Consider the following 20,544-nt stretch of genomic DNA (forward strand, 5'->3'; position numbering starts at 1 on the left):
TTTCTTTCAGGGCCTGCTGTCACGTTGGTATCTTATTACTACAGAGTCTGTTTTGTGAGTCTTAAGGTCTTTTTATTTTTAGACAGAGTTTTGCTCTTGTCACCCAGGTTGGAGTGCAATGGCGTGATCTCAGCTCACTGCAGCCTCCCCTCCACCTCCCAGGTTCAAGCGATTCTCCTGCCTCAGCCTCCTGAGTAGCTGGGACAACAGGCATGCACCACCCCACCCAGCTAATTTTGTATTTTTAGTAGAGACGGTGTTTCGCCACGGTGGCCAGGCTAGTCTCGAACTCCTGACCTCACGTGACACACCAGGTTTTGGGATTACAGGTGTGAGCCACCACACCGGACTAAGGTCTCTGTTTTAATGTGAATGCTGGTCAGCTGTGCCTATGAGGCATGTTCGGCCACCCACAGTCATCATGGCCTCAACGAGCTTTTCAGGTTTACTTTAGAATGCATTTGGCCAAGAGGTGCCCATTCAGTTGGTTGGGGTTGCTTAGAATTTTACTTTGGGTTTAAACCAGGGAGCAACTCCAGGTAGCAAGGGCCCTTTTTGGGAGCGTTCTCTCTATTCTCTTTTGGGAGAGGCCCTGTGTTGCCTGCAGCCACTTCCACCCTGCCCCTTGGGCACACAAGGGGCACACAGTGTAAGCAGGTGGGCAGGAGGGGTCGGGCAGCCAGGGAATGCAGTGAGATGGGCTTGGGGTAGGGGCTGGGTGCGCTGCAGGACTCCTCTTCCTCCTGAGGGATGGTAAAGGATGGACACACTGCCCCCTCCCGAGCATTTGAGGGTCTCTGCCCTGCCCATCTGTTACCTGTAAATGTTCCTTTGAGGAGCTGATGGCTCAGGCCTGAGCCACATCTCAGAGGGTCTGGAGGGGAAGAAAGACCTCATCCTACTAGGGAGCCCCCCCAGCCCACCAGCGAGCGGTGGTTGGGGGCAGACAGGCTGTGGGGCTAAGGAGCCCCTGCACTCCCCCGTCCTTTTCCCTTTGTCTGAGCACCTCCAGCCAGTGGGCTTGGTCTAGACTCTCCTATCTTTCCCCACATCGTGGGGTGGGGCTTGCTCTGGGTTAGGCTACTTTTCCCTAGTTGTGGGGAGGGGGGTGCTGGCACATTTCACTGTTCCCTGGAGGAAATGAGTGCCTGGGAATTCATATCTAGGGCTCCCAGCAGCCTCTTTGCAGGCCAATTTGGAAACTGTCCCCAGCCCTGCATTTTAGGGGGTTACAGAGTCTCTCAGCAGGCCCTCCTCCCCTGCTGCTCCCAACTTGCAAGCCTGCACTGGTTGGGAGAACATAATGGTCCAAGGAGCCCCCTCTCTACTTTCCGCTGTGTTCCCTGTGGGGAGGGAAGAGCAGTTTAAGAAATAAGGAATCCCAAAGGCGCACAGCAGACCGGGGGCCGAGGAGTGGGTCCTGCTTCCCCTCCTTTTTTCTAGGCTGAGCCACAGCAGGTCCTTGAATCCTATTTCCCAGCGGATGCCAGGACAGCAGGCCCTGGGGGAGTTCTCTCTCGAGCCTTTCAGAGGGACCAGAGGTCTAGCAGCCAAGGAGAACTCAGAATCCTTGAGTGTGTGGGGCAGGAACTCTCCCAGCTGAGAAGGGGCACAAGGTGCCAACCATCTAGGGCCCAGTGGCCAAGGAAGACGCGGCTTGTCGCAGGGAGAATCTGGGCCCTGGTCCTCCCTTTCAGGGCGGGCAGCTGACCTGCCCCCTGCTGCGGACAGGCGAGGCCAGGCTGCTGGCTCGCAAGCATGGCGGAGCCCAAACCTTCCCTGCTGCCGCCCGCCCAGCCACGGCTGACTTGGAAGCTTGAGGAGCGTTCAGCAGCCTCCATCCTGCCCGGGAGGACCGGGGACCTGGAAGGGCCTGGCCCTCGCTTCCCTGCAGCGCCCTAGGGGGACGTCTCAGTGCCTCCCGGAGCCCGGACCAATGCACCAGAGCTGAGGGCCCAAGGGTGTGAGGGTGGCCGGGCAGTGGCCCCGAGGACGGCGCCCCACAAGTTTGCGGCCAGGGCCCAGCAAACCCCTAGGGGTGGGAAAGCGTCGGCCCAGCTAGCGGGTCCAGCAGGGCTGCCCCCTTCACCGTGGCCCAGCGGTCACGACCCCACGTCCTCATCGCGGGCTGGGACTGCCTCTGCGTCTGGCCTGAGCGGGACCGTGGGATCCTGGGGAGCCCCGCCTCGGTGCACTGACAGAGCCCAGAAGGAGTGACGGTTACCGCTTCCGGTCAGGACCGGAAGTGCCGGGAACGGCATTCGTCCTCCGTGCGAGATGACGCACTTCCTGCCTGAGGCGGCCGCTGTTCTCGCGGCTTCCGGCAGGTGGCGCTGAGACCACGGGAAGCCAGCCTGGCTGTCGGTTAGCCCTCGAGCATTCTGGGAATTGCAGGCCTGGCCCCTCCTCTTCCTGTTCTTGGTCAATTCCGGTCTTGTTTCCCCAACAAATGCCGTCGTTTCCGGGGCTGCTTCCGAGCCGGACCCAAGGGCCGGGGCGTGGAGGAGTAGAGGGGCGAGCGCATGCGCACAGGACTACACGTCCCGACAGGCGTCGGGAGCGGCGGCCCAGTTCCTTGTGGGAGCTGTAGTTCTGCAGGCGCGGAAGCCGTGGTGCTCGGCCGGCAGAGCACTCGGTTTCCCAGAGGGCTGAGCGCGCCGCACGGAGGTGCGGCGCCGACCAAGATGGAGACTGCCGAGCAGCCTTGAGCCGGTAGGTTTGTGGTGAGGGAGGACGGGCCGCGCGGGCCGGCCGAGCCTCCGGGAGGTCACCGAGCGCAGCTTTAATACCTGAGCTCGAAGGCCCCGCTGTGCTCGCCGACCCCCGTACCTCGCGGCCGGGCCCTTGGGACCCACAGCATCCTTGTGAGGCCCGGAGGCCTGTCCAGCCCGACTGGACAGTGCCGAGGGGCACCGAGAGCCAGCTTGGCACCGAGAGTTCGTTTGTTCTCTGGCGGGGAGGTCTTGCTGGCACATATAGTGGAGAAAGGCCGGGCTCTGCGTTCATGTGGAGAAAGAGACGGCTTCCTTCAGCCTACGGACATGAAGGAGTCAACTCTACCTTCCACTCGTTGCCGGCTTTCGCCGAGAACCCCGAGAAACGGACTACCGGAGTCCCTATCTTGCAGCCCGATCCCCGCTACCCGTCGGAGTGCCCCGCTGACCAGGCTGCTTCTGGCCGCGGCGGCGTTCCGCTGCAGAGGACGGGAGTGCGAATCTGGGAAGCAGGGTTCTGGTTGAACTCCAGCTTCGTCTGCAACATACTGTGTGACTTGGGCAAATTATTTCCCCCGCCCCGTTCCTGCCAGCTTTAAAACGGTCATCAGTGGGGGGTGCTGCGTATCCCCTTTCACTGGGGTGGCTTCTTCACTGAGGAGAGTCGCGCCTCAGAGGAACTGAGGTCCTGCCTGTGTTCGACCTGGTGGGGGGCACTAAGAGCCCCTGATAGTACCCCTGACCCCATCCTTATTGGGTGCACAAGACACAGGTCACTCTGGGCGGGCAAGGAGTTTTGGTAGCAGGAGAGGAGTCGGTGGATGGATGGCTGAGGACAGTGCAGAAGGGTGTGGCTGGGCCGTCTTTTTTTGCCTGGAAATTCAAGTTCTGAGGCACCCAGTCACTCCAGCACTAAATGGGTGCAGGAGGCAGCACTTGTCTGCCCAGCTGGAAAGGCAGGGTATGTGCTGAGTGTTACAGGTGGAAGGCCACTGGAGGTCGCTCCAGGAGCCGCGGGGATTTACCTCTGCCTAACAGGGCTGCTCAAGGTGATGGTCGACACCCCACTTTCCTGAGAGCTTGACCCTCAGATGCCAGGGCCTTGGCTGCAGATTCCTTGGGAGCTCCCGGGGATCTTCCAGCAAATAGGAGCAAATCTTTTCCCCGTGGATCAGGAAGGTGCACGCTCTTTGTGGAATACGACTGCTCACCCCGCACAGCAAGCAGCTTATAAGTGGCCCTCCTGCCTGATTTCAGCCCTGGGTTCAAGCCCTGGGTGGCTGCTTACTACCAAAATCGCTCAGTAGCTCCAAGCCTGCCTGCAGAGGGTTGGCACCATTAAATGAGGTAACGAGTCAAAAGTCCCTACCCTGGGTCCTAGCCTGTCAGGGGCTCCGAAAACCCAGGCTCAGGTCGGTCCTGCCCGGCACCTGTTTCACACATGTACACTCCGGTCTGAGGTTGGTCCTCTCCCCCACCCCACCCACCTGCAGTTGAGCAGCTGAACAGAGGCCATGCCGGGGCACTCCGAGGCCTGAGACGACCACGCCTGTGCCGCTGAGGACCTTCATCAGGGCTCCGTCCACTTGGCCCGCTTGGCTGTCCAATCACACTCCAGTGTCAACCACTGGCACCCAGCAGCCAAGAGAGGTGAGAGGAGGGCTTGGAGGGGGAGGCGGGACTCCACCCTGTGTGGGACAGTTCTGTCAGTTGACCCTCCACTTGTCCAGGGGCAGTGGATCTGCAGGGGGAACTCATTCTCAATACTGTTCCTCCTGAGAAACAAATTTTCTGGGCTGTTTTGGTTTAGGTGTGGCGTGGCCCTGGGGACGCATGGCTGAGGCAGGAACAGGTGAGCCGTCCCCCAGCGTGGAGGGCGAACACGGGACGGAGTATGACACGCTGCCTTCCGACACAGTCTCCCTCAGTGACTCGGACTCTGACCTCAGCTTGCCCGGTGGTGCTGAAGTGGAAGCACTGTCCCCGATGGGGCTGCCTGGGGAGGAGGATTCAGGTCCTGATGAGCCGCCCTCACCCCCGTCAGGCCTCCTCCCAGCCACGGTGCAGCCATTCCATCTGAGAGGCATGAGCTCCACCTTCTCCCAGCGCAGCCGTGACATCTTTGACTGCCTGGAGGGGGCGGCCAGACGGGCTCCATCCTCTGTGGCCCACACCAGCATGAGTGACAACGGAGGCTTCAAGCGGCCCCTAGCGCCCTCAGGCCGGTCTCCAGTGGAAGGCCTGGGCAGGGCCCATCGGAGCCCTGCCTCACCAAGGGTGCCTCCGGTCCCCGACTACGTGGCACACCCCGAGCGCTGGACCAAGTACAGCCTGGAAGATGTGACCGAGGTCAGCGAGCAGAGCAATCAGGCCACCGCCCTGGCCTTCCTGGGCTCCCAGAGCCTGGCTGCCCCCACTGACTGCGTGTCCTCCTTCAACCAGGATCCCTCCAGCTGTGGGGAGGGGAGGGTCATCTTCACCAAACCAGTCCGAGGGGTCGAAGCCAGACACGAGAGGAAGAGGGTCCTGGGGAAGGTGGGAGAGCCAGGCAGGGGCGGCCTTGGGAATCCTGCCACAGACAGGGGCGAGGGCCCTGTGGAGCTGGCCCATCTGGCCGGGCCCGGGAGCCCAGAGGCTGAGGAGTGGGGCAGCCACCATGGAGGCCTGCAGGAGGTGGAGGCACTGTCAGGGTCTGTCCACAGTGGGTCTGTGCCAGGTCTCCCGCCGGTGGAAACTGTTGGCTTCCATGGCAGCAGGAAGCGGAGTCGAGACCACTTCCGGAACAAGAGCAGCAGCCCCGAGGACCCAGGTGCTGAGGTCTGAGAGGGAGATGGCCCAGCCTGACCCCACTGGCCACTGCCATCCTGCTGCCTTCCCAGTGGGGCTGGTCAGGGGGCAGCCTGGCCACTGCCTAGCTGGAATGGGAGGAAGCCTGCAGGTGGCACCGGTGGCCCTGGCTGCAGTTCTGGGCAGCATCCTCCCAAGCAGAGACCTTGCTGAAGCTCCTGGGGTGTGGGGTGTGGGCTGGAAGCACTGGCTCCCTGGTAGGGACAATAAAGGTTTTGGGTCTTTCTGAGACTTTGTGTCTATCTGGGCCCTGCTTACCCAAAGGGCTCAGTTGGCAGCAAGAGCTCCCCACACCTGACCCTCGGTGCCGGACCACTCGAGGGTGGCTGACACCTGCATCCCTCACCAGCACATCACCCAGGTGACAGTGAGAATTGGAAACCCCAGGCCTCCTCTAGGGCTTGTGGCTCAGTGGCAGGTGTCCAGTGAGTGCCCTCAATGGGCCTGAGTGGGTACAGAATCTGCCCTCCCCCAACCAAAGCCCACATGATGCCATCAGCCCCAGGCCTAGTGCAGACCACAGCTTGGGAAGCGAAAGGGAGATGACAAAATGGGTGTGGACAGAGGAGGCTGGGGTGAGTGGGCAGTTGGGGGGCCTGGGCAGGTGTTTGAGCCTGGGGTCCAGTTTTATCTGGGCCACGTGGGGTACAGTGTTTTCCAGGCTCCACTGAAGATAAAGCAGCCACTGGTGCCAGCAGGGGCTTTGTCTTGGGGCCATAAACACCAGTGTGTGCTGTACTGGCCATCGGGTGTCAGGGGGACAGCTGACAGATGCAGTGGATGCCCAGCCCTGTCTTCCAGGAGCCAGTCACCTGAGCCCCAAAGGACCTTTTGGGTCTTAAGTGACAGAAATTCTAACCACCAGTGTTTCAAAAAAAGATGAGTCTCTTGTCAGGCAACACAAGTCAGGGCAGGGGTGGGTGCAGACCCCAGAGCAGCTTCGCAGTCTGGATGGGGGTGCTCCCCCGTCACGCCACAGGGCCAGCTTTTCCACAGTGCAGGCTGGTCAGTTTCCAGGTAGGGATGCGGTGGGGCACGTTTTCTGCCCGGGGAGTTGTGCCTGTCAGGGGAGACAGCCCCATGACACTGCTGTGCCTCCGGGGAGGCCAGGAGGGACAAGGAGCGGTTCCTTTGGGTGAGGGTCTGTGGTGAGGCACCAGGAGGGCCATTGTCTGCTGGGGGGCTGGTGCCCCCTGGGGGGTTCCGCTGGAGGTCGGCAAAGGTCAGTGCACAACGTGCAGGGTGGCCAGCTGAGGAGAGGTGGCCCCACACGTGGCAGGCCAAGCAGCTCAGGTGTCCGAGGGAGGCTGGCCAGCCCCGGGTTGTTCCCAGCCATCTAAACCACCTCTGTGGTCAGCAGCCACCAGCTGGCTTCCCTCGCCACAGTGCTGAGAGCCTGCTGGGAAGGAAGGCCCCCCTGAGCGGTGGGAACCAGCAAGGCAGGCCCAGGAAGGGGAGAGGTAGCTGGCTCAGAGGCAAGGGCCAGGACGCCGTGGCTCTCAGAGTGAGTCCCCACAGGCCAGCCTGGGGAAGATGGGGAGCCCAGAGACAACCAGGCCTCTGCCTGCACTCCTGGGACTAGGAAAGCAGCCCCCTTGAGGCCGAGGGGCCCGTTTGCTTGCTGAGCAGGACAGTCCAATAGGGCCCACGCCAGGCAGAGCCTCAAGAGTCTGAGTGAAGCACATTCGGCCCTGGCCAAGGCAGGGACTCCGTCAGAGGGCACCCACACCACCCTGAAGAGCCGCGTCCAGCCAAGGCCTCCTGAGACTCCCGGGCCAGGCAGGGAAGGCAGAGCACACAGCACAGCCTACGGCCCCCCAGCCGCTGCAGAGTGGGTGCCCATGCCCACCCTCATCCCACGCTCCCCAAACAGGCTTACTCCGGGGGCCGCCACCCTGGGCCAGCACGTCAGCCACGGAGGACACGAGCACCGAGCAGTAGTTGATCTGGAGAAGGGAAACACGTCCGGGAAGCTCCAGGGCTCTCTCAGGACAGCAGGGGACAGGCAGCCTCCCCATCTCCCCTCTCCTGCCAGGGCCCCCGCTGCCCTGTGACTCCTCCCTCTGAGAGCTGCCGCTCACAGGCAGGGGTGAGTGAGGCTCCCGTGAGGCGTGTAGAGTGAAAGGCGAGGGGTCTTCAATGTGAGACCCCTCATTTAAGGCTGTAGCCTCCCAAGTGGCAGGGTGGGAGGAGGCACAGGTGGGGACGGCCTGTCTTCCCCAGAACGCTCCTCTGCCCACTGGGGTGCTCCTGTCCTGGCTCTGGCCTGCCTCATCTCTGTGAGTGACCGGGCAGGGCTGTGGACCCATCCCAGTAGCCCCACGCAGCCACCCGCCTCCCATCAGGGAGAGGAGCTCTGGGGCTCGCTTGCCTGTGACTCCAGACACTTGATGCGCTTTTCTTGCTCTCTCAGACCCCCGAGGTACTTGGCAATGAAGTCCACTCTGCGGCAGGAGCAGGTGGTCAGGCTGTGGATGGCCACGCGGTGCTCTGCGTGTGGGGAGCCTCCCCATCCCCCCAGGCCTCCCTGTGTGCCCGAGTTTGGGGTGCCCTGGCCCTTTCCCTTCCTCCCTCATGCCCAGATCTGGTGGCACCAGGACCCCTCAAAGTGCACCTGGTGCAGTACAGAGCGCTCTATGCCTTCCCAGTAGGGCTAGGGTGCCATCCCTGCCTGGGCGCACCACCCAGAAAGACGGTGCAGGGCAGGCAGTCGGGGACAGGCCCCTGGAGCCAGGGCTGGAGGGAAGCCAGGGGTGGGTAGTCCCAACCCTGAGACCACAGCAGGGAGGGCGCCACGGTCACTGTGCACGCTCCCTTTTTGCCTGGCCAGGCGTCCCAGCAGGGTCCTGCACAGGTCAGGCTGGAAAGCTAGGCCCCTGGGCTCGGCCAGAGCCCTGCCCCTACCCCTTCAGCTTCAGTTCGCCAGCTCAGATCCTCTGTCACTGGCGCCAATGGCACATCCCCGCTTAAAGACAGCCCGATACCCACCAGTGATCAGGACAGGCCCCCGCACCTGTGGGCGGTTTTCCGCAGCACCTCCCCCTCGCTGTCCCTCCTCCGCTTCTCCATCTTGCTCAGGAAGTTCTCCTTCTGGACTGTCTCCCAGGTGACGACCTTCTGGTCCAGGGGGTCTGGCAGGTCTCTCTCTGGGAAAGCCAGGTGGCAGCCAGCATTACTAGAGCATGTGGGCGTCAGTGGCAGAGCCCAGGCCTGGTCCCGGGGCGAGGTGGGCCAGGCAGAAGGAGTGAGTGGGGCCCAGCCAGGGATGGAGGGCAAGCATGGCCCTGTGCAAGGACGGCCAAGCTGCGGGTGGACGGGCTCAGCTGTGCCAGCCTGCACAGAGCCCAGCTGAGGACCCACAGGGCTGAGGAGGGGTCCAGGTCTCTCCAGACCTGCCTCCAGCGCACAGCCCCGCCCTGGGACCCGCCACCTCGGCCTCACCCAGGTGCTCCCGCTTGTGCTCGGCCTCACCCAGGTGCTCCCGCTTGTGCTCAGCCTCCTTCTTGAAGACCCGGCGGAGCGTCAGGCTCAGGTGGCTGAGCAGGATGAAGGGCGGGGCCAGGGCGGGGCGCTCGTGGTACTCCACAATCAGGTTGTAGCGCTGGAACTTCCAGAACATGTCTGCGTTGCCCTGCACCACCTGGAACGTGTAGCTGCAGGGGCACAGCTGAGCCGTCACCTACCGGCTCCCCACGACCACTTGGGGGACGCATCCCCCTGCACCCTGATTGCTGTTGGGGAGCCCTTTTTGAAACTGAGGCCCAGCACTGCTTCTGCGTTGCCTCTGGGGTGTGTCACGAGGGGTCCACTCTCCTTGGGTCTTCCCCTGTCCACTCTGCTCTCCTGGACAAGCCCAGAGTTCTTGCCACAGCACCGGTCCCCCAAAGACCCAGGCCCTGCTTCCTGGGACTGGGAGGGTGGCCCACAGAGTTCCCGGTCTTGGGCAGGCAAAGCCCTGCAGTCCAGGCTATGCCACCTTCTATCTGCCCTGAGGCACCAAGCCTCACCCTCTGCAGCACACCAGGTGGGTTGCAAAGGAGGCGGTGTTGGGGAATGACCCTCTGCTCCCTCCGCTCCAGGGCTCTCTCCTCCAGGGGTTGGGTGGAGTCACCTGAACATGGCGATGAGCAGGTTCATGAGCAGCACATTGGTGACCAACAGGAAGGTGACCAGCAGGAGGATGACCAGCCAGTTGGCATAGAGGCTGGGGCAGGATGGTGAGTCCTCCAGCAGCAGTGGGTGGGTGGAGCAGTTCACACGGGCTTCTGGAAAGCAAGGGTGCTGTGGGGACCAGACCGGGGGCAGCCACAAGGGCGGCCTTAGGCAAATGCCCCGAGATAGAGCGCTGAGTCCTGGTGTTGAACCCAGGGGACGGGGTGCTGGTTGGGTGACCCACTGTCCCAGTTCACCCAGGGCGGCCTGGGTTTTAGCAGTGAAAGCCCCATCACAGCAAACCAGAACCAGACGGGTGGTGAGCCCCACCCTGGGCCCCCTCTGCCATGTCTGCTGAGCTTCCACCAGGGGCTGGAGTCAGCCAAGATCACAGGCCCTGGAAGTAGAGCCAAGACCCCTGGAGGGATGGAAGGTGGGGGACAGAGGGGTCACGGGACCCAGGTTTCTCCTGGTTGTTGGATGTGTTAAAACCTCCACCCCTCCTCCGAAAAAAGCCTCTGCTGTTGAAGGTTTGGGGAGAGCTGCCGAGGAAAGGGAGATGGGGCCCAGGACTTCTCAGAGCCTCTACAGCACTAATGCCTGTGATTAAACCCCAAGCTGGCAAGTAATTCCGCCACCTTTCCAAAATGTATTGAGCCAGCAGGCTCCAGACTGGGCTTGCTGCAAGCTCTGAGGGCACCGATCCCGCACTGGGCCACTCAAGTCAAGAACATTCTTCAGGCGGCACACTCTGGGAGCTTGCAGGCTGAGCTCCCTCGGCCCTGGGCAGGGACACCCTGGAGGGGTGGCAGATCTCACTCCAGTCCCTTAAAACCAGACCCTCACACCTGCTTCTCCCTTGTAGGGCTCAACCCTGGACCCTCACCCCACCCCAGCCTGCGGGGCAGGAGGAGGGAGGAGGGAGGAAGGAGCCGCAGTGGGCGTCAGGGTGCTCAGGGTCCCAGCCAGAGGCCAGAGTGTGCCCTGGCCGTCCAGGACCACATATCCCCTCCATATCCGAATGGGAGCTCCGCTCTCTCCTCCCTCCCCAGCCTGCACGCTGGCGTGTGTCTGTGTGAGCCTGTACATGTGATTGGATGTGCCTGGCACACATGCTCATGTGTGAGTCTGCGTGTGAGCACACTGGCACACACGGGCACATTCAAGTGTATCTTAGTGCCTGCCAGCTCCAGGTTGCCCTGCGGTGGGTTCTGGGGGGTCTCCTTGTTCCCAGGTTCCTGCCTCTGTGCCTGGGTCCTGAGCTGGAGGGGTCCGTTCTCCCTCCTAGGGTGAATTCCTGCCTTGTTTCTCCCGAGTGAGTTAGTGTGACGCGTTGGCCCGTGTGTGAGTTATTGAGTGTCTGTGTGTGCACTGGCAGTCAGTGAGCGCCAGCCCTCCCCACGCTCCCACCCTAGGCCTGCCCCTCCTCTGTCCGCCCTGGCCACCTCCAGCCCATGAATCTGTTCCTGGGCAGACTGATGACCCCCTCTCCTCCCTGCACTCTGGAGGAGCGGGCCGGGGCCAGCCTGGAGAGCCTGTTTGTGAAGCCGTAAATCTGTCTGATAAAGGCAGCTCTGAGGAATGAGACCCCCACACCCTCCCCGACTCTGTGATTTGGGAAGGCGCCACCAGGCCGGGCTGGAAATTAAATTGTCCCTGGGGCCTGGAGACCCAGAGAACAAGCTCGTCACCACAGCTCAACCCCAGCTCCGGCTCGGCACGAGTGCAGAGTGGGGCAGGGGTCTGTTCTGGGCTCTGAGGAGACCTGCAGGCTGTACAGGAACTGTCTGAGCCTCAGTCTCCCTCTCAGCCCAGCATGTGTTAGTGAATAACTCCCTGCCTAGCAGCATGAGGGGCTGGGTCACAGTGAGTGGCTGGGGTTCAACCTGAAGGGCCCAGATACTTGCTCGGCAGCTGAACGGAGCCCAAGGAATTGCAGCTCAGGGAGGGGAAGTGACAAGTCTGAGACTCTCAGTGGGCGGCCGGGGCTGGCCCTGTTGCAGGCGTTTCAGCACGGGGCTCTGAGATCCCCGCAGCACCGCAGACCTCCCTGAGGCAGCACTCGGAGCAGGGGCCCCTCGGGAGTCTGTTTCCCTGCCTTCTCCCGTCGAGAAGGAGGCTATGGCCAGGCCTGTCTCCTCATACGAGTCGCTGAGACTGGCCCACCAGAGATGCAGCCACTCAAGAAAGAGGGGACCCCCAACCCTGCCCTGGCTGGAGGCGCCCGTCTAGAGCTCCTCCTGCCCCGAGGGGCCCTGCGGACGGGCAGTGCTGGAGGCCGTATGGTGAGGGCGAGGTGGGGTCGCAGGCAGGCAGGGTCTGGTTAAACTAATGGCCTGGAAAATGAATGCCTGTGATGAGCAAACACCAAAATGTCAGGAGGGGCTGCGGGGGCTGAGAAAACAGCCCAAGGAAATGAGCCGCGCTGGGAGAGGCGGTTTCCATCACGGCGTCGCCCCCGCCTGTCCCCGGAGGCCTGTGTTTGCTCCGGTCTGGCCGTCATCCCCTCAACAAATATTTATCGAGGGTCCTGAGCGCCACTCCACAGAGGTCGGGGTCAGGCCTGGGCAGCACGTTGTGCCATGACTGCCCCGTGCCGGGCAGCCCCAGCCGCCTGACACCGCCTGAGCAGTTTCCCTGCACCTTCTCTGCCGGGTCTCCAAGTCTGCGGCACCCCTCGAGGGCCCCAGGGGCGGGCTGGCTGCTGGTCCACCTTCCCAGAGGGGTGCGTCCCTTTCCAGGTTGGGGCTCCTCACTGAGTCCCAGCCATCCCAGGGGCCTGCACAGGTCCCTGCCCCACCCCAGAGCTCCCCACCAACCCATCACTACAGAGGCCCCCATGGCCAAGCGGCTCTGACCCCCGCCCCCTCCCCACTGCACTGGCTTATGAAAAAGTTTCCAGAGCCTCCACCAGCCCCAGCCAGCTACAGGGGTCGGCCTGGGGACACCCATAGGCATGGGCAGGCCACACACACACATTGGGGTGGGTCCCCAGGAGCAGCCAGGGTGCCTTTAGGAGCGGCCAAATGGCGAAGGGGCCTTGCCAGCAGGACGGCGTAGGGGCTCTGGTGGGTGCCCTAGGCCAAGCAGGGCCCTGTGGGAGGGCAGAGGCCAGGGGCTGTGAGGAGAGCTGGAGGGCCCAGACCCCGGATGATGGCTGGGACAGCCTTTGGGCCCACTCTGTGCCCTTAGTGCCTGCCTATCCCTTCCCCACCGATAGACCACCCCCAGAGCAAGACTTGCTGCTTGGCCTCCCCAAGCAGGAGGCAGCCCTGGCTGCCTTGGGGTCTCCTTGTGTCTCCTTCCCAGCCCAAGGCCCCAGGTCCCAGGTCGGGGCTCCGTGACTGGAGCTGCCTCTACCTCAGGAACCAGGCCTGGCCCTTTGGGGTGTGGGGGGCCTGGGGACCAGGCCTCAGCCACTTCTCCCATCTCTGCTCCAGGCTGGGGTCTCCATGGCCCCAACAGACCTCTCTGGAGAGCCTCATGCCCAGGGCTTGTGCACACAGGGCTCCAATTTCTCCCTGCCCCTGCCCCCGCTGGCTGTGTGCAAACCATCAATCTCGTCCAGTGGGATCTGGCCGAAGATCTGCAGGTAGGGCCGGTAGAGCACCCGGCGGAAGATCCACTCCAGGCGGCCGTCATGGGGGTGCAGCAGCGCCTGGGTGGTGACACCGTAGGCCACGAGCCACACGCTCAGAAAGAAGAGGAAGAAGAAGACGTCCTTCATCTCCACGGGGCAGGGGCAGAGAGAGGGACGTCAGCGGCCAGCCGGGTGGGGCCCAGGCAGGGGATTGCTGTCCCTCCAGGGCCAGGGCCAGGGCCCCCGGGGGCTCACCATGCGCTCTACCACGATGATCTTGGGGCCCAGCTGCTTGTGTATGGCAAAGATATGGATCAGCCGCAGCGTGAACACCATGAAGTCCATGGCGAGGACTGTGCGGCCAGCCTCAAACGCCGACGGCAGCATCCTGGAGGATGGGAGGCTGATGCGGCTGCGGGGCCCAGAGAGGGGCAGAGGCTTCCCCAGGGGCACACAGCATGCTGGCTGCGGGCAGGGCCAGGGCCAGGCCAGGACTCCTTGGGCCCTGAGTGGCTTCATCTTTTGTTTATTTATTTTTAAGAGACAGGGTCTTGCTCTGTCACTCAGGCTGGAGTGCAGTGGCATGATCACGGCTTGCTGCTGCCTCAACTTCCCTGGCTCAAGTGACCCACCCACCTCAGCCTCCTGAGTAGCTGGGACCACAAGTGCCACCGCCACACCCAACCTGAGTGGCTTCATCTGGAAGCCTGCCCACAAGCCGCCCTGAGGCCACACGGCCTCTGGGCCCCACAGACCTGCAGGTGACACCCACGATGAACAGGAAGATGGCCACCATGTCACACTTGTTCCAGTTGTCCCCCACATACAGTGTGAACTTCTTCACCAGGTGTGTGTCCTCGTCTGTGAAGAAGCCCTGGGAGGGAGGTGGGCAGTCCACTGACAGCTGTCCAGCCGCCCTCGCTGGGGACAGCCCTACCTGGACAAGCTTGGATCTGTAAGGATCAGGGTTCCATCTATGACCAGGGCCGAGGCTACCAGTGGGACTAGGGGTCCACTGAAGCTATTCCAGGGCTGTCTGGGGACAGAAGGTGAGGTCAGTCTCCACTTGGGGCCAGGGCCTCTTTGTGCCCAGGGTCTAGGGATCAGTTTATGCAGTGTCTGGACTCAGTCCGTGATACAGGTCAGGGTTCAGACTCTGACGAGGGAGACCATGGTCATGCTCAGTCTGGAGCAGGGCTCAGGGCTCGGTCTTTGACCAGGATCATGGCCGCTGGTGACTGGGAAGATGGGAGGCCCCCATGCTGTTCTTGTTTTACAGTTGGGGAGCCCCACCCTGCGAGGGCAGGACCCAGCTTAGGTTGCCCAACCTGAAGCTGCAGAGTGGAGGGGACCTAGGCTAGTGTGGCCACCGACCTGCCGGATTTCCTCCAGCACCAGCGTAAAGACCCAGAAGTAGAGGGTGACCTCGGGCCCTGAGGGGCCCTGGGGGGGCGGCCTGAAGTCCACCAGCAGGACGTAGGTGAACAGGAAGAGGAAGGCGAAGTACATGACCACGTTCCCCAGGAACACAGTCACGGGAGCGCCCCAGAATTTCCGCCAGCGTGTGAGCAGGAAGACAGCACGTGGGCCTCGGTCACCCTGAGCCCTCGGCGCCTCCACCAGCTCCTCCACCCTGTGCCGCAGAGAAGTTCGCAGTGGTGAGGCTGGCGCCCAGCCGGGTGCCCCACCAGAGTCCAGCCTCCCAGCCACCACCCGCCAGTCCCCTCCACCCTGCCTGGCCCTGTGCCTCGCACCGGCTCTGCAGGCCATACAGCGGGCTCTTCTCCGTGTCCAGGCTGTCCAGGTCCTGCAGGTCCTCCAGGCCTGTCCTCAGGGGAGCTTCCTCACTGCGAGCACAGGAGAGCTCAGGGCCCGCAGGAAGGGCTCCCAGAGGCGCCTGCCTGGCTCCAGGCGCTTGGCCATCAAAGTGCCCACTGGGATGCAGGGGCTGTGGGGAGTGGGACCCGCAGGGAGGCTGGACTTGGGGGCTACAGAGTCAGGCTACCACCAGCACCTGCGAGGCCCAGGCCCTCCCCGTAGCTCCGGCACTCGCACTGCTGCCTGTCCTGGCCGGGCAGCTCACAGGCCTCACCCACCTGAAGGTGATGAGGTTGGTATAGACGAGGGCGGGGCAGAGGAAGGCTCCTAGCAGCCGCAGGATGGGCGTGCCTGCGGCCATGTCCCCCCACCAGATCCTGGTCAGGAAGGCCTGAGGTGAAGGCAAAACTGTCGGCTCCAACTCTGCACCTTTGCCCAGGCTGCGCCCTGCCCCAGGAATGCCCTTCCCCCAGGTGCCTGGCCCACGTGAGCTGAAGGGGTGCCCAGCCCAGCCCTCCCTCCCGGAGCCCCCGTCCTGGTGGGCATGTGCTCCTTGGGCCACTCATCCCAGGGGTGTGGGTTGAGCTGCTGTACCCTTCACTAGGGAAAAGATTGGGCTTGGGGGTTGGGGAGGACTGAGAGGAGGAAGTGCCACTTCCACTGAGGCCAGAGGCAGGAGGAGTGTGCCTGGTGGAGGAAGCCAGGTGGGCGCCTTCCAGGAACAGAAGCCCCACCCCGCCCCCTCTGTGCTGAGGACGGGAGTGACAGGGCAGCTGCAGGCTGGGAAGTCAACTCAAGCTGGGCCCAGCTCGCCCGCCCACCCCACCCCCTGGCAGCTCTCCTCGAGGACAGCTGGCACTCACCTGAACGCCGTCGTGGGCAAAGAAGGCCTTGGCGTCAGCCTCGGTGGCCAGGTGCAGGCAGGTGGTCTTGCTCCAGCAGCGGTTCCGGCGCACCAGCAGGGCGAAGGCGCGGGCCTCACTGTTGCTGTAGCACTCGGAGAAGAGGTCTGCCCCCGGAGGCCCTGGCCGCTAGGACGAGACGCCGATGCCCGGCCCGGCCCCCGACGCCCCTCCTCCATCCCCTGCCCAGACCTGGGCTCTGCAGCCGCACCCTGCGTTCAACACGCAGGGCCCAGCCAGGCCTTCTGCCCCCTCCGGCCTGCTCCGGGCCCTTCCTGAACCTCCGTCCTTCTCCGGCTCTGTCCCTCCCCCAGCAGGACAAAGGGAACCTCTGCCACGCTAAATGTCCCTCGTCCTGCGGCAGGGCCCAGTGTATGCCCGGGGTGTGAGGCTGTATCGTCCTCACCACGTGCACAGCGGTCCCACACTCAGGGTCTGGGGCCGCCTCCACCCCAGGCAGAGCCGTCTGTCCTCTCCTATGGAGGAGGCCCCTGAGGGCACCTGGAGCCCCACGGCGGTAACAGGCAGCCCTGGCGAGGCCCAGGACCCTTCGTCCGACCCCTCCGTCACATCCTCCCCCGCGCGCGGGCCCGGCCCCAGCCGCCGGTCACTCACCAAGGGCCAGCCGCTCGTATTTCGCCTCGCGCGTGGCTCGGGCCGCCTCGGCCTCCGTCTCCAGGTGCGACATCTCTTTGAGGATTTTGCAGGCGGCCAGTGCGGCTGCCACACCTTCCTGGCCCTACGAGACCTGGTCTCAGGAGGCCGCCCCTCCCCTGCCCCCGCGCTGGGCCCGCGGCCTGGGCTCACCATGGCCCAGAAGTAGGTGGCCATCTCGTGGCGGTTCTGCAGCACGGCCCACAGGAACAGGTCCCGCCAGGGGTTCTCGCTCTTCTGGTTCAGGTCCAGCAGCCACTTCTGGCCCGTGGGCCGCTTGGCCGGGCCCTTCTCCTGGAGGACACGGGCGTCGGCCTCCTGCTGCGGCCCCAGCCTCGCCCTCCATCCCCACGGAGCCCCCGCTCACCGCCCTCCTGCGGTCCCCTGGCCGGCCGTCCTGGTAGAAGCCTCGGCAGGCGTCCTGCAGGAAGTCCTTGAGTACGCGGGAGACCTCGTGCAGGGAGAAGGCCGGTGGCCCCGCGGGTGGCTCCCGGGCCTGCTGGGTGCCCAGGCCGGCCAGCGTCAGCCGGGCCTCCTCCTGCTTCCGCTGCAGCAGGTCGAAGAGCAGGCTCTTGCGTGACACGGAGCGGTAGAGCTCCTGCAGCCGCCCATACGTCAGGAAGTCGGCCACGTCTGCGCCGTTGTCCACAAAGAGGCGCACAAACTCGGGCTTGTTGCTGACCAGGGCGTCCACCATCACCTCCTCCAGGTCACAGGACTTGGCGGCCATGGGCACCCGAGGGAAGGGGGACAAGAGAGTGAGCGAGAGACAGGAGGAGGGGGTCCAAGGAAGGAGAGAGCAGGGAGCATGGGGATCCATCCCCAGGGCCAGGTCACGCAGACCCTCTCGCTCTCCTGCACCCCAGCCTGCCCCCTGCATTGGGGCGGGCACAGAGGGGCCAGTCGTGAGCAAATGCTGAGGGTGTCACAACCCCCTTGGGCTTTGGGGACAGCCGGCACCCAGCCAGCTCTGCCTGGGCCAGTGAGCGAGGCAGAAGCCCGGGCAGAACCGTGGCCTGGTCTTGCCCCGGACCTTGGGACAGCTGGGCAGAACGGGCTCAGCCAAGCAGCCCACAGGGTGCAGGAGCAGGCAGCGTGGGCAGCTCGGGCAGTGCCATGATGGGGAGGTGGGTAGGCAGGGCTGGGAGGCACCTTCCACTCCACGTCCCCATTGAAGATCTCACTCTTGGCGATGTCCACGCGGTCCCAGGCCACGGCCAGCTTGAGCTCATCCAGATAGTCCTGAGGCTCCTGGCTGTGGCTCTTGCAGGCTGTGGGCAGAGCAGGCAGGCACTGGTGAGGGTGGAGCTGAGGGCCTCACAGAGCCGGGGCACAGGGTCCCCAAAGGTGCGCTGCCTAGAGACGCGGAAACGGGAACTTCACGCTGGGACTTGAGGGGGCACATGCGCCACCTCTGAGCACCAGCAGGAGGCACGAGACTTTGTACAAACCGCAGGAGAAAGCGTGCTGCCCTGGTCTGCGTCGGGACGGCCCGTCTGCTCCCATGTGAGGCAACTTCCTCGGCTGCAACGGGGGTACCCCAGCTAACACCTGGGCCTCGAGGCCACTTCCTGGCACTGAAGGTCCAGGACACCCTTCCTGGATGTTGTCGGGGGAGCAAGCTGGGCCACGTTTCCTCCACGGGCAAGGGCATTTGGCCATGACTTGGTGAGGTCACCAGGGTCACTCAAGGGGGGCCTGCAGCACCTGGGCTGGGTGCGCCTGCTGGAAACCGCTGTCCTCACCAGACTCGCACGTGAGGCTCACCAGCCTCAGCCTCCACAACCATGGACCCCGTAAGACTACGGTGCCTCTCTCAGGCCACTGGGACCAAACTGAGACTGGTGAGAAGAGGCGGGGGAGTTCCTAAACGGGGAGGTTTCTTTGACCTCCTTGTCCTGGTGAGGTTTCTAAACCCAGAGCCACCCGCAGTCCAGACACCCTTCCCAGAGCGTCCCCTCAAGGTGTCCCCAGCCCCTGCTTAGCAGTGCCTCTCCCTGCTGGGGCTGTGTCTGCCTGCCAGCGTCCAGCCCTTCAGCACGCGTTCGTCTCCAGCAAAAAGCACATCAAATGCTCATCAAAATTTTCCATCAGCGGGTGAACAGACGCATCAACCACGGTCTGTCCACAGGCTGGAACCTGACTCCGCCTTACAAAAGGAATGAAGCATGGAATGGCATACGCTTCAACACGGAGGAACCGTCAAACCCTCCCGCTGCCTGCAGGGAACCATGGACACGAAATGCCCGTCAGCAAATCTATAGAGACAGGAAGCAGATCGATGGTTCCCAGGGGCTGGGGGAAATGGGGAGTGAGTGCCAAGGGGTATGGGCTCTTTCTGGGGCGATGAAGGCTTCTGGAATTAGATAAAAGTGATGGTCGCCCCACCTCACGAATATACTAAAAACCACTGAATTGGCTAGTGCGGTGGCTCACGCCTGTAACCTCAGCACTTTGGGAGGCCGAGGCAGGCGGATCACGAGGTCAGGAGATCGAGACCATCCTGGCTAACACGGTGAAACCCCGTCTCTACTAAAAATACAAAAACAAAATTAGCCGGGCATGGTGGGGTGCACCTGTAATCCCAGCTACTTGGAAGGCTGAGGCAGGAGAATCACTTCAACTCGGGAGGTGGAGCTTGCAGTGAGCCGAGATCGCAGCACTGCACTCCAGCCTGGGCGACAGTGCGAGACTCCGTCTCAAAAAACCGAAAACCAAAACAAACAAAAAACAACCCCCCCACCAAAAAAATACCACTGAATTGAGAGCTTTAAGTATAGTTTTAAGTTGTGGTAAAAAACACGTCATAAAACTTGCCAAATACAGACAGCTTCATGAATCATGTGTCATCTTTCCTGGGAAGGGGCAGGCGGCCGAGCGTCACAAACATTGGCCAGGCTGCCAAACCCCAAAGCGGCTCTGAGCATGAAGCCCCCCAATGGCGCCTGCCTTGCCCACCCTGCCCGCCCTCACCTTTCACCAGCGCCTTCAGGATGACCGTGTCCAGCTCCTCGGAGCCCTCCTGCTCGAAGTCATACACGGTGAGCAGGTGCTGGTGTGAGGTGATGTTCTGCAGCTGGGCACCAGAACAGAGCCCCCATGGGGCCGCCTCAGCCAGGACGGGGGCAGAGGCAGGCCGTGGTAGACACCAGCGTAGGCACAGGCAGCGTCCCCAGGTGAGCCTTGCAGCCTGCATGCCCACCGCCCACCGGGCCCGGCCTGGGACCACCCGCAGACCAAGGGGCTGCCTGGGTCTCTCTGCTCCCTGTGGGCCTGAAGCGAGAGTGGGTGGGGGGCCCAGCAGCCTGAGGTGGGAGGAGTGGGCTGGAGGCTGCATTGCAGGAACTCTCCCAGAGGACCAGCCCCACCCCCGGAGGAGGGGTCGGGAGGACAGGGGAGGGGGCAGCACATACCAGCTTGGTCCAGCGCACGATGTCCTCCCAAGAGAAATGCTTGCTGGGGAACTTCTCCTTAAACTGCTTCTCGGCCACCTTGGGCACCAGGAGGTGGGGCTGGTTCACTAGGGCAGCAAGCACATCGGCGATGCCCCCCGAGCCTACCAGGATCAGCCACGGGGCAGCCTGCTCCACGGCCCTGGAGATCCTCTGAGACGGGGAGGGAGGGGAGAGCGGACCCCAGATTAGCCCGACGACATCTGGATGCAGGTGTCAGGGGTGCCCCCATCCCTTCAGCCCTGTCCCAGGGGTGCCCAGAACCCACCGCACCCCTCCACAAGGCTTCGGCCAGCCAGGGGGCCTCAGCCAGGCCCCTACCTCCAAGGTGTTGGGATCACCATTGACCAGCAAGCAGAGGACAGGGATCTCGATGCTGCCAGTGCCTGTGGACAGGGCACCCGTGAGGCCTGAGGACCCTCCGC

The 20,544-nt window shown here is 63.2% G+C and overlaps 2 protein-coding genes across 14 annotated transcripts in view, besides 7 other annotated features; one reads left to right on the forward strand and one right to left on the reverse strand.

Annotated features, from left to right (window-relative positions):
- Positions 939-998: an enhancer, noted in NCBI's record as "active region_4301". NCBI's record gives its function as "activates an Ori minimal core promoter by ATAC-STARR-seq in GM12878 lymphoblastoid cells {active_cell/tissue: GM12878}" and the evidence as "EXISTENCE:reporter gene assay evidence [ECO:0000049][PMID:35858748]".
- Positions 2,304-2,653: an enhancer, noted in NCBI's record as "active region_4302". NCBI's record gives its function as "activates an Ori minimal core promoter by ATAC-STARR-seq in GM12878 lymphoblastoid cells {active_cell/tissue: GM12878}" and the evidence as "EXISTENCE:reporter gene assay evidence [ECO:0000049][PMID:35858748]".
- Positions 2,304-2,853: a biological region, named in NCBI's record as "NANOG-H3K27ac-H3K4me1 hESC enhancer GRCh37_chr11:2421638-2422140".
- Positions 2,322-2,824: an enhancer, noted in NCBI's record as "NANOG-H3K27ac-H3K4me1 hESC enhancer chr11:2421638-2422140 (GRCh37/hg19 assembly coordinates)". NCBI's record gives its function as "activates a minimal SCP1, AML or CMV promoter by ChIP-STARR-seq in primed H9 embryonic stem cells {active_cell/tissue: H9 hESC(primed)}" and the evidence as "EXISTENCE:reporter gene assay evidence [ECO:0000049][PMID:30033119]".
- Positions 2,664-5,790, forward strand: TSSC4 (tumor suppressing subtransferable candidate 4). 10 transcript variants are annotated; one of them, XM_047426217.1, is made up of 5 exons: positions 2,664-2,712; positions 3,890-4,061; positions 4,208-4,364; positions 4,525-4,566; positions 4,759-5,790. In XM_047426217.1, the coding sequence occupies exons 4-5, from the start codon at positions 4,548-4,550 to the stop codon at positions 5,535-5,537; spliced, it is 798 nt and encodes a 265-aa protein (XP_047282173.1). In that variant the 5' UTR covers positions 2,664-2,712; positions 3,890-4,061; positions 4,208-4,364; positions 4,525-4,547; the 3' UTR covers positions 5,538-5,790. The 10 variants fall into 10 exon arrangements, with proteins under 10 accessions (XP_047282173.1, XP_047282172.1, XP_047282174.1 ...); XM_047426216.1 differs by having other exon boundaries at positions 2,664-4,061; XM_047426218.1 differs by lacking the exon at positions 3,890-4,061 and having other exon boundaries at positions 2,664-3,399.
- Positions 2,714-2,853: an enhancer, noted in NCBI's record as "active region_4303". NCBI's record gives its function as "activates an Ori minimal core promoter by ATAC-STARR-seq in GM12878 lymphoblastoid cells {active_cell/tissue: GM12878}" and the evidence as "EXISTENCE:reporter gene assay evidence [ECO:0000049][PMID:35858748]".
- Positions 2,825-3,325: an enhancer, noted in NCBI's record as "NANOG-H3K27ac-H3K4me1 hESC enhancer chr11:2422141-2422641 (GRCh37/hg19 assembly coordinates)". NCBI's record gives its function as "activates a minimal SCP1, AML or CMV promoter by ChIP-STARR-seq in primed H9 embryonic stem cells {active_cell/tissue: H9 hESC(primed)}" and the evidence as "EXISTENCE:reporter gene assay evidence [ECO:0000049][PMID:30033119]".
- A 114-nt stretch (positions 5,791-5,904) lies between the features above and the next one.
- TRPM5 (transient receptor potential cation channel subfamily M member 5) overlaps positions 5,905-20,544 on the reverse strand; it is a 40,524-nt gene continuing 25,884 nt past the window's right edge. The window contains exons 7-26 of one of the 4 annotated variants that reach the window (XM_047426858.1): positions 20,441-20,505; positions 20,081-20,272; positions 19,641-19,743; positions 17,820-17,938; positions 17,035-17,385; positions 16,821-16,961; positions 16,629-16,752; positions 15,975-16,120; positions 15,390-15,502; positions 15,048-15,140; positions 14,668-14,926; positions 14,049-14,167; positions 13,549-13,681; positions 13,266-13,440; positions 9,673-9,826; positions 9,033-9,214; positions 8,575-8,707; positions 7,933-8,005; positions 7,441-7,507; positions 5,905-6,960 (exon numbers count right to left, since the gene is read on the reverse strand). In XM_047426858.1, the coding sequence (XP_047282814.1) occupies positions 6,851-6,960; positions 7,441-7,507; positions 7,933-8,005; positions 8,575-8,707; positions 9,033-9,214; positions 9,673-9,826; positions 13,266-13,440; positions 13,549-13,681; positions 14,049-14,167; positions 14,668-14,926; positions 15,048-15,140; positions 15,390-15,502; positions 15,975-16,120; positions 16,629-16,752; positions 16,821-16,961; positions 17,035-17,385; positions 17,820-17,938; positions 19,641-19,743; positions 20,081-20,272; positions 20,441-20,505 (2,852 nt within the window). In that variant the 3' untranslated portion in view covers positions 5,905-6,850. Of the gene's footprint in view, positions 6,961-7,440; positions 7,508-7,932; positions 8,030-8,574; positions 8,708-9,032; positions 9,215-9,672; positions 9,827-13,265; positions 13,441-13,548; positions 13,682-14,048; positions 14,168-14,667; positions 14,927-15,047; positions 15,141-15,389; positions 15,503-15,974; positions 16,121-16,628; positions 16,753-16,820; positions 16,962-17,034; positions 17,386-17,819; positions 19,094-19,640; positions 19,744-20,080; positions 20,273-20,440; positions 20,506-20,544 lie in introns of those variants that run through there. The other 3 variants (XM_017017628.2, NM_014555.4, XM_047426859.1) reach the window with 3 other exon arrangements.
- Positions 16,022-16,522: an enhancer, noted in NCBI's record as "H3K27ac-H3K4me1 hESC enhancer chr11:2435338-2435838 (GRCh37/hg19 assembly coordinates)". NCBI's record gives its function as "activates a minimal SCP1, AML or CMV promoter by ChIP-STARR-seq in naive and primed H9 embryonic stem cells {active_cell/tissue: H9 hESC(naive and primed)}" and the evidence as "EXISTENCE:reporter gene assay evidence [ECO:0000049][PMID:30033119]".

Source organism: Homo sapiens, chromosome 11, assembly GCF_000001405.40.
Source record: "Homo sapiens chromosome 11, GRCh38.p14 Primary Assembly".
In the NCBI taxonomy this organism is placed as follows: domain Eukaryota; kingdom Metazoa; phylum Chordata; class Mammalia; order Primates; family Hominidae; genus Homo; species Homo sapiens.

Excerpts from the sequence above, each read along its gene's own strand:
- TSSC4 (XM_006718118.3), top strand. The coding sequence starts at position 4,548 with ATGGCTGAGGCAGGAACAGGTGAGCCGTCCCCCAGCGTGGAGGGCGAA.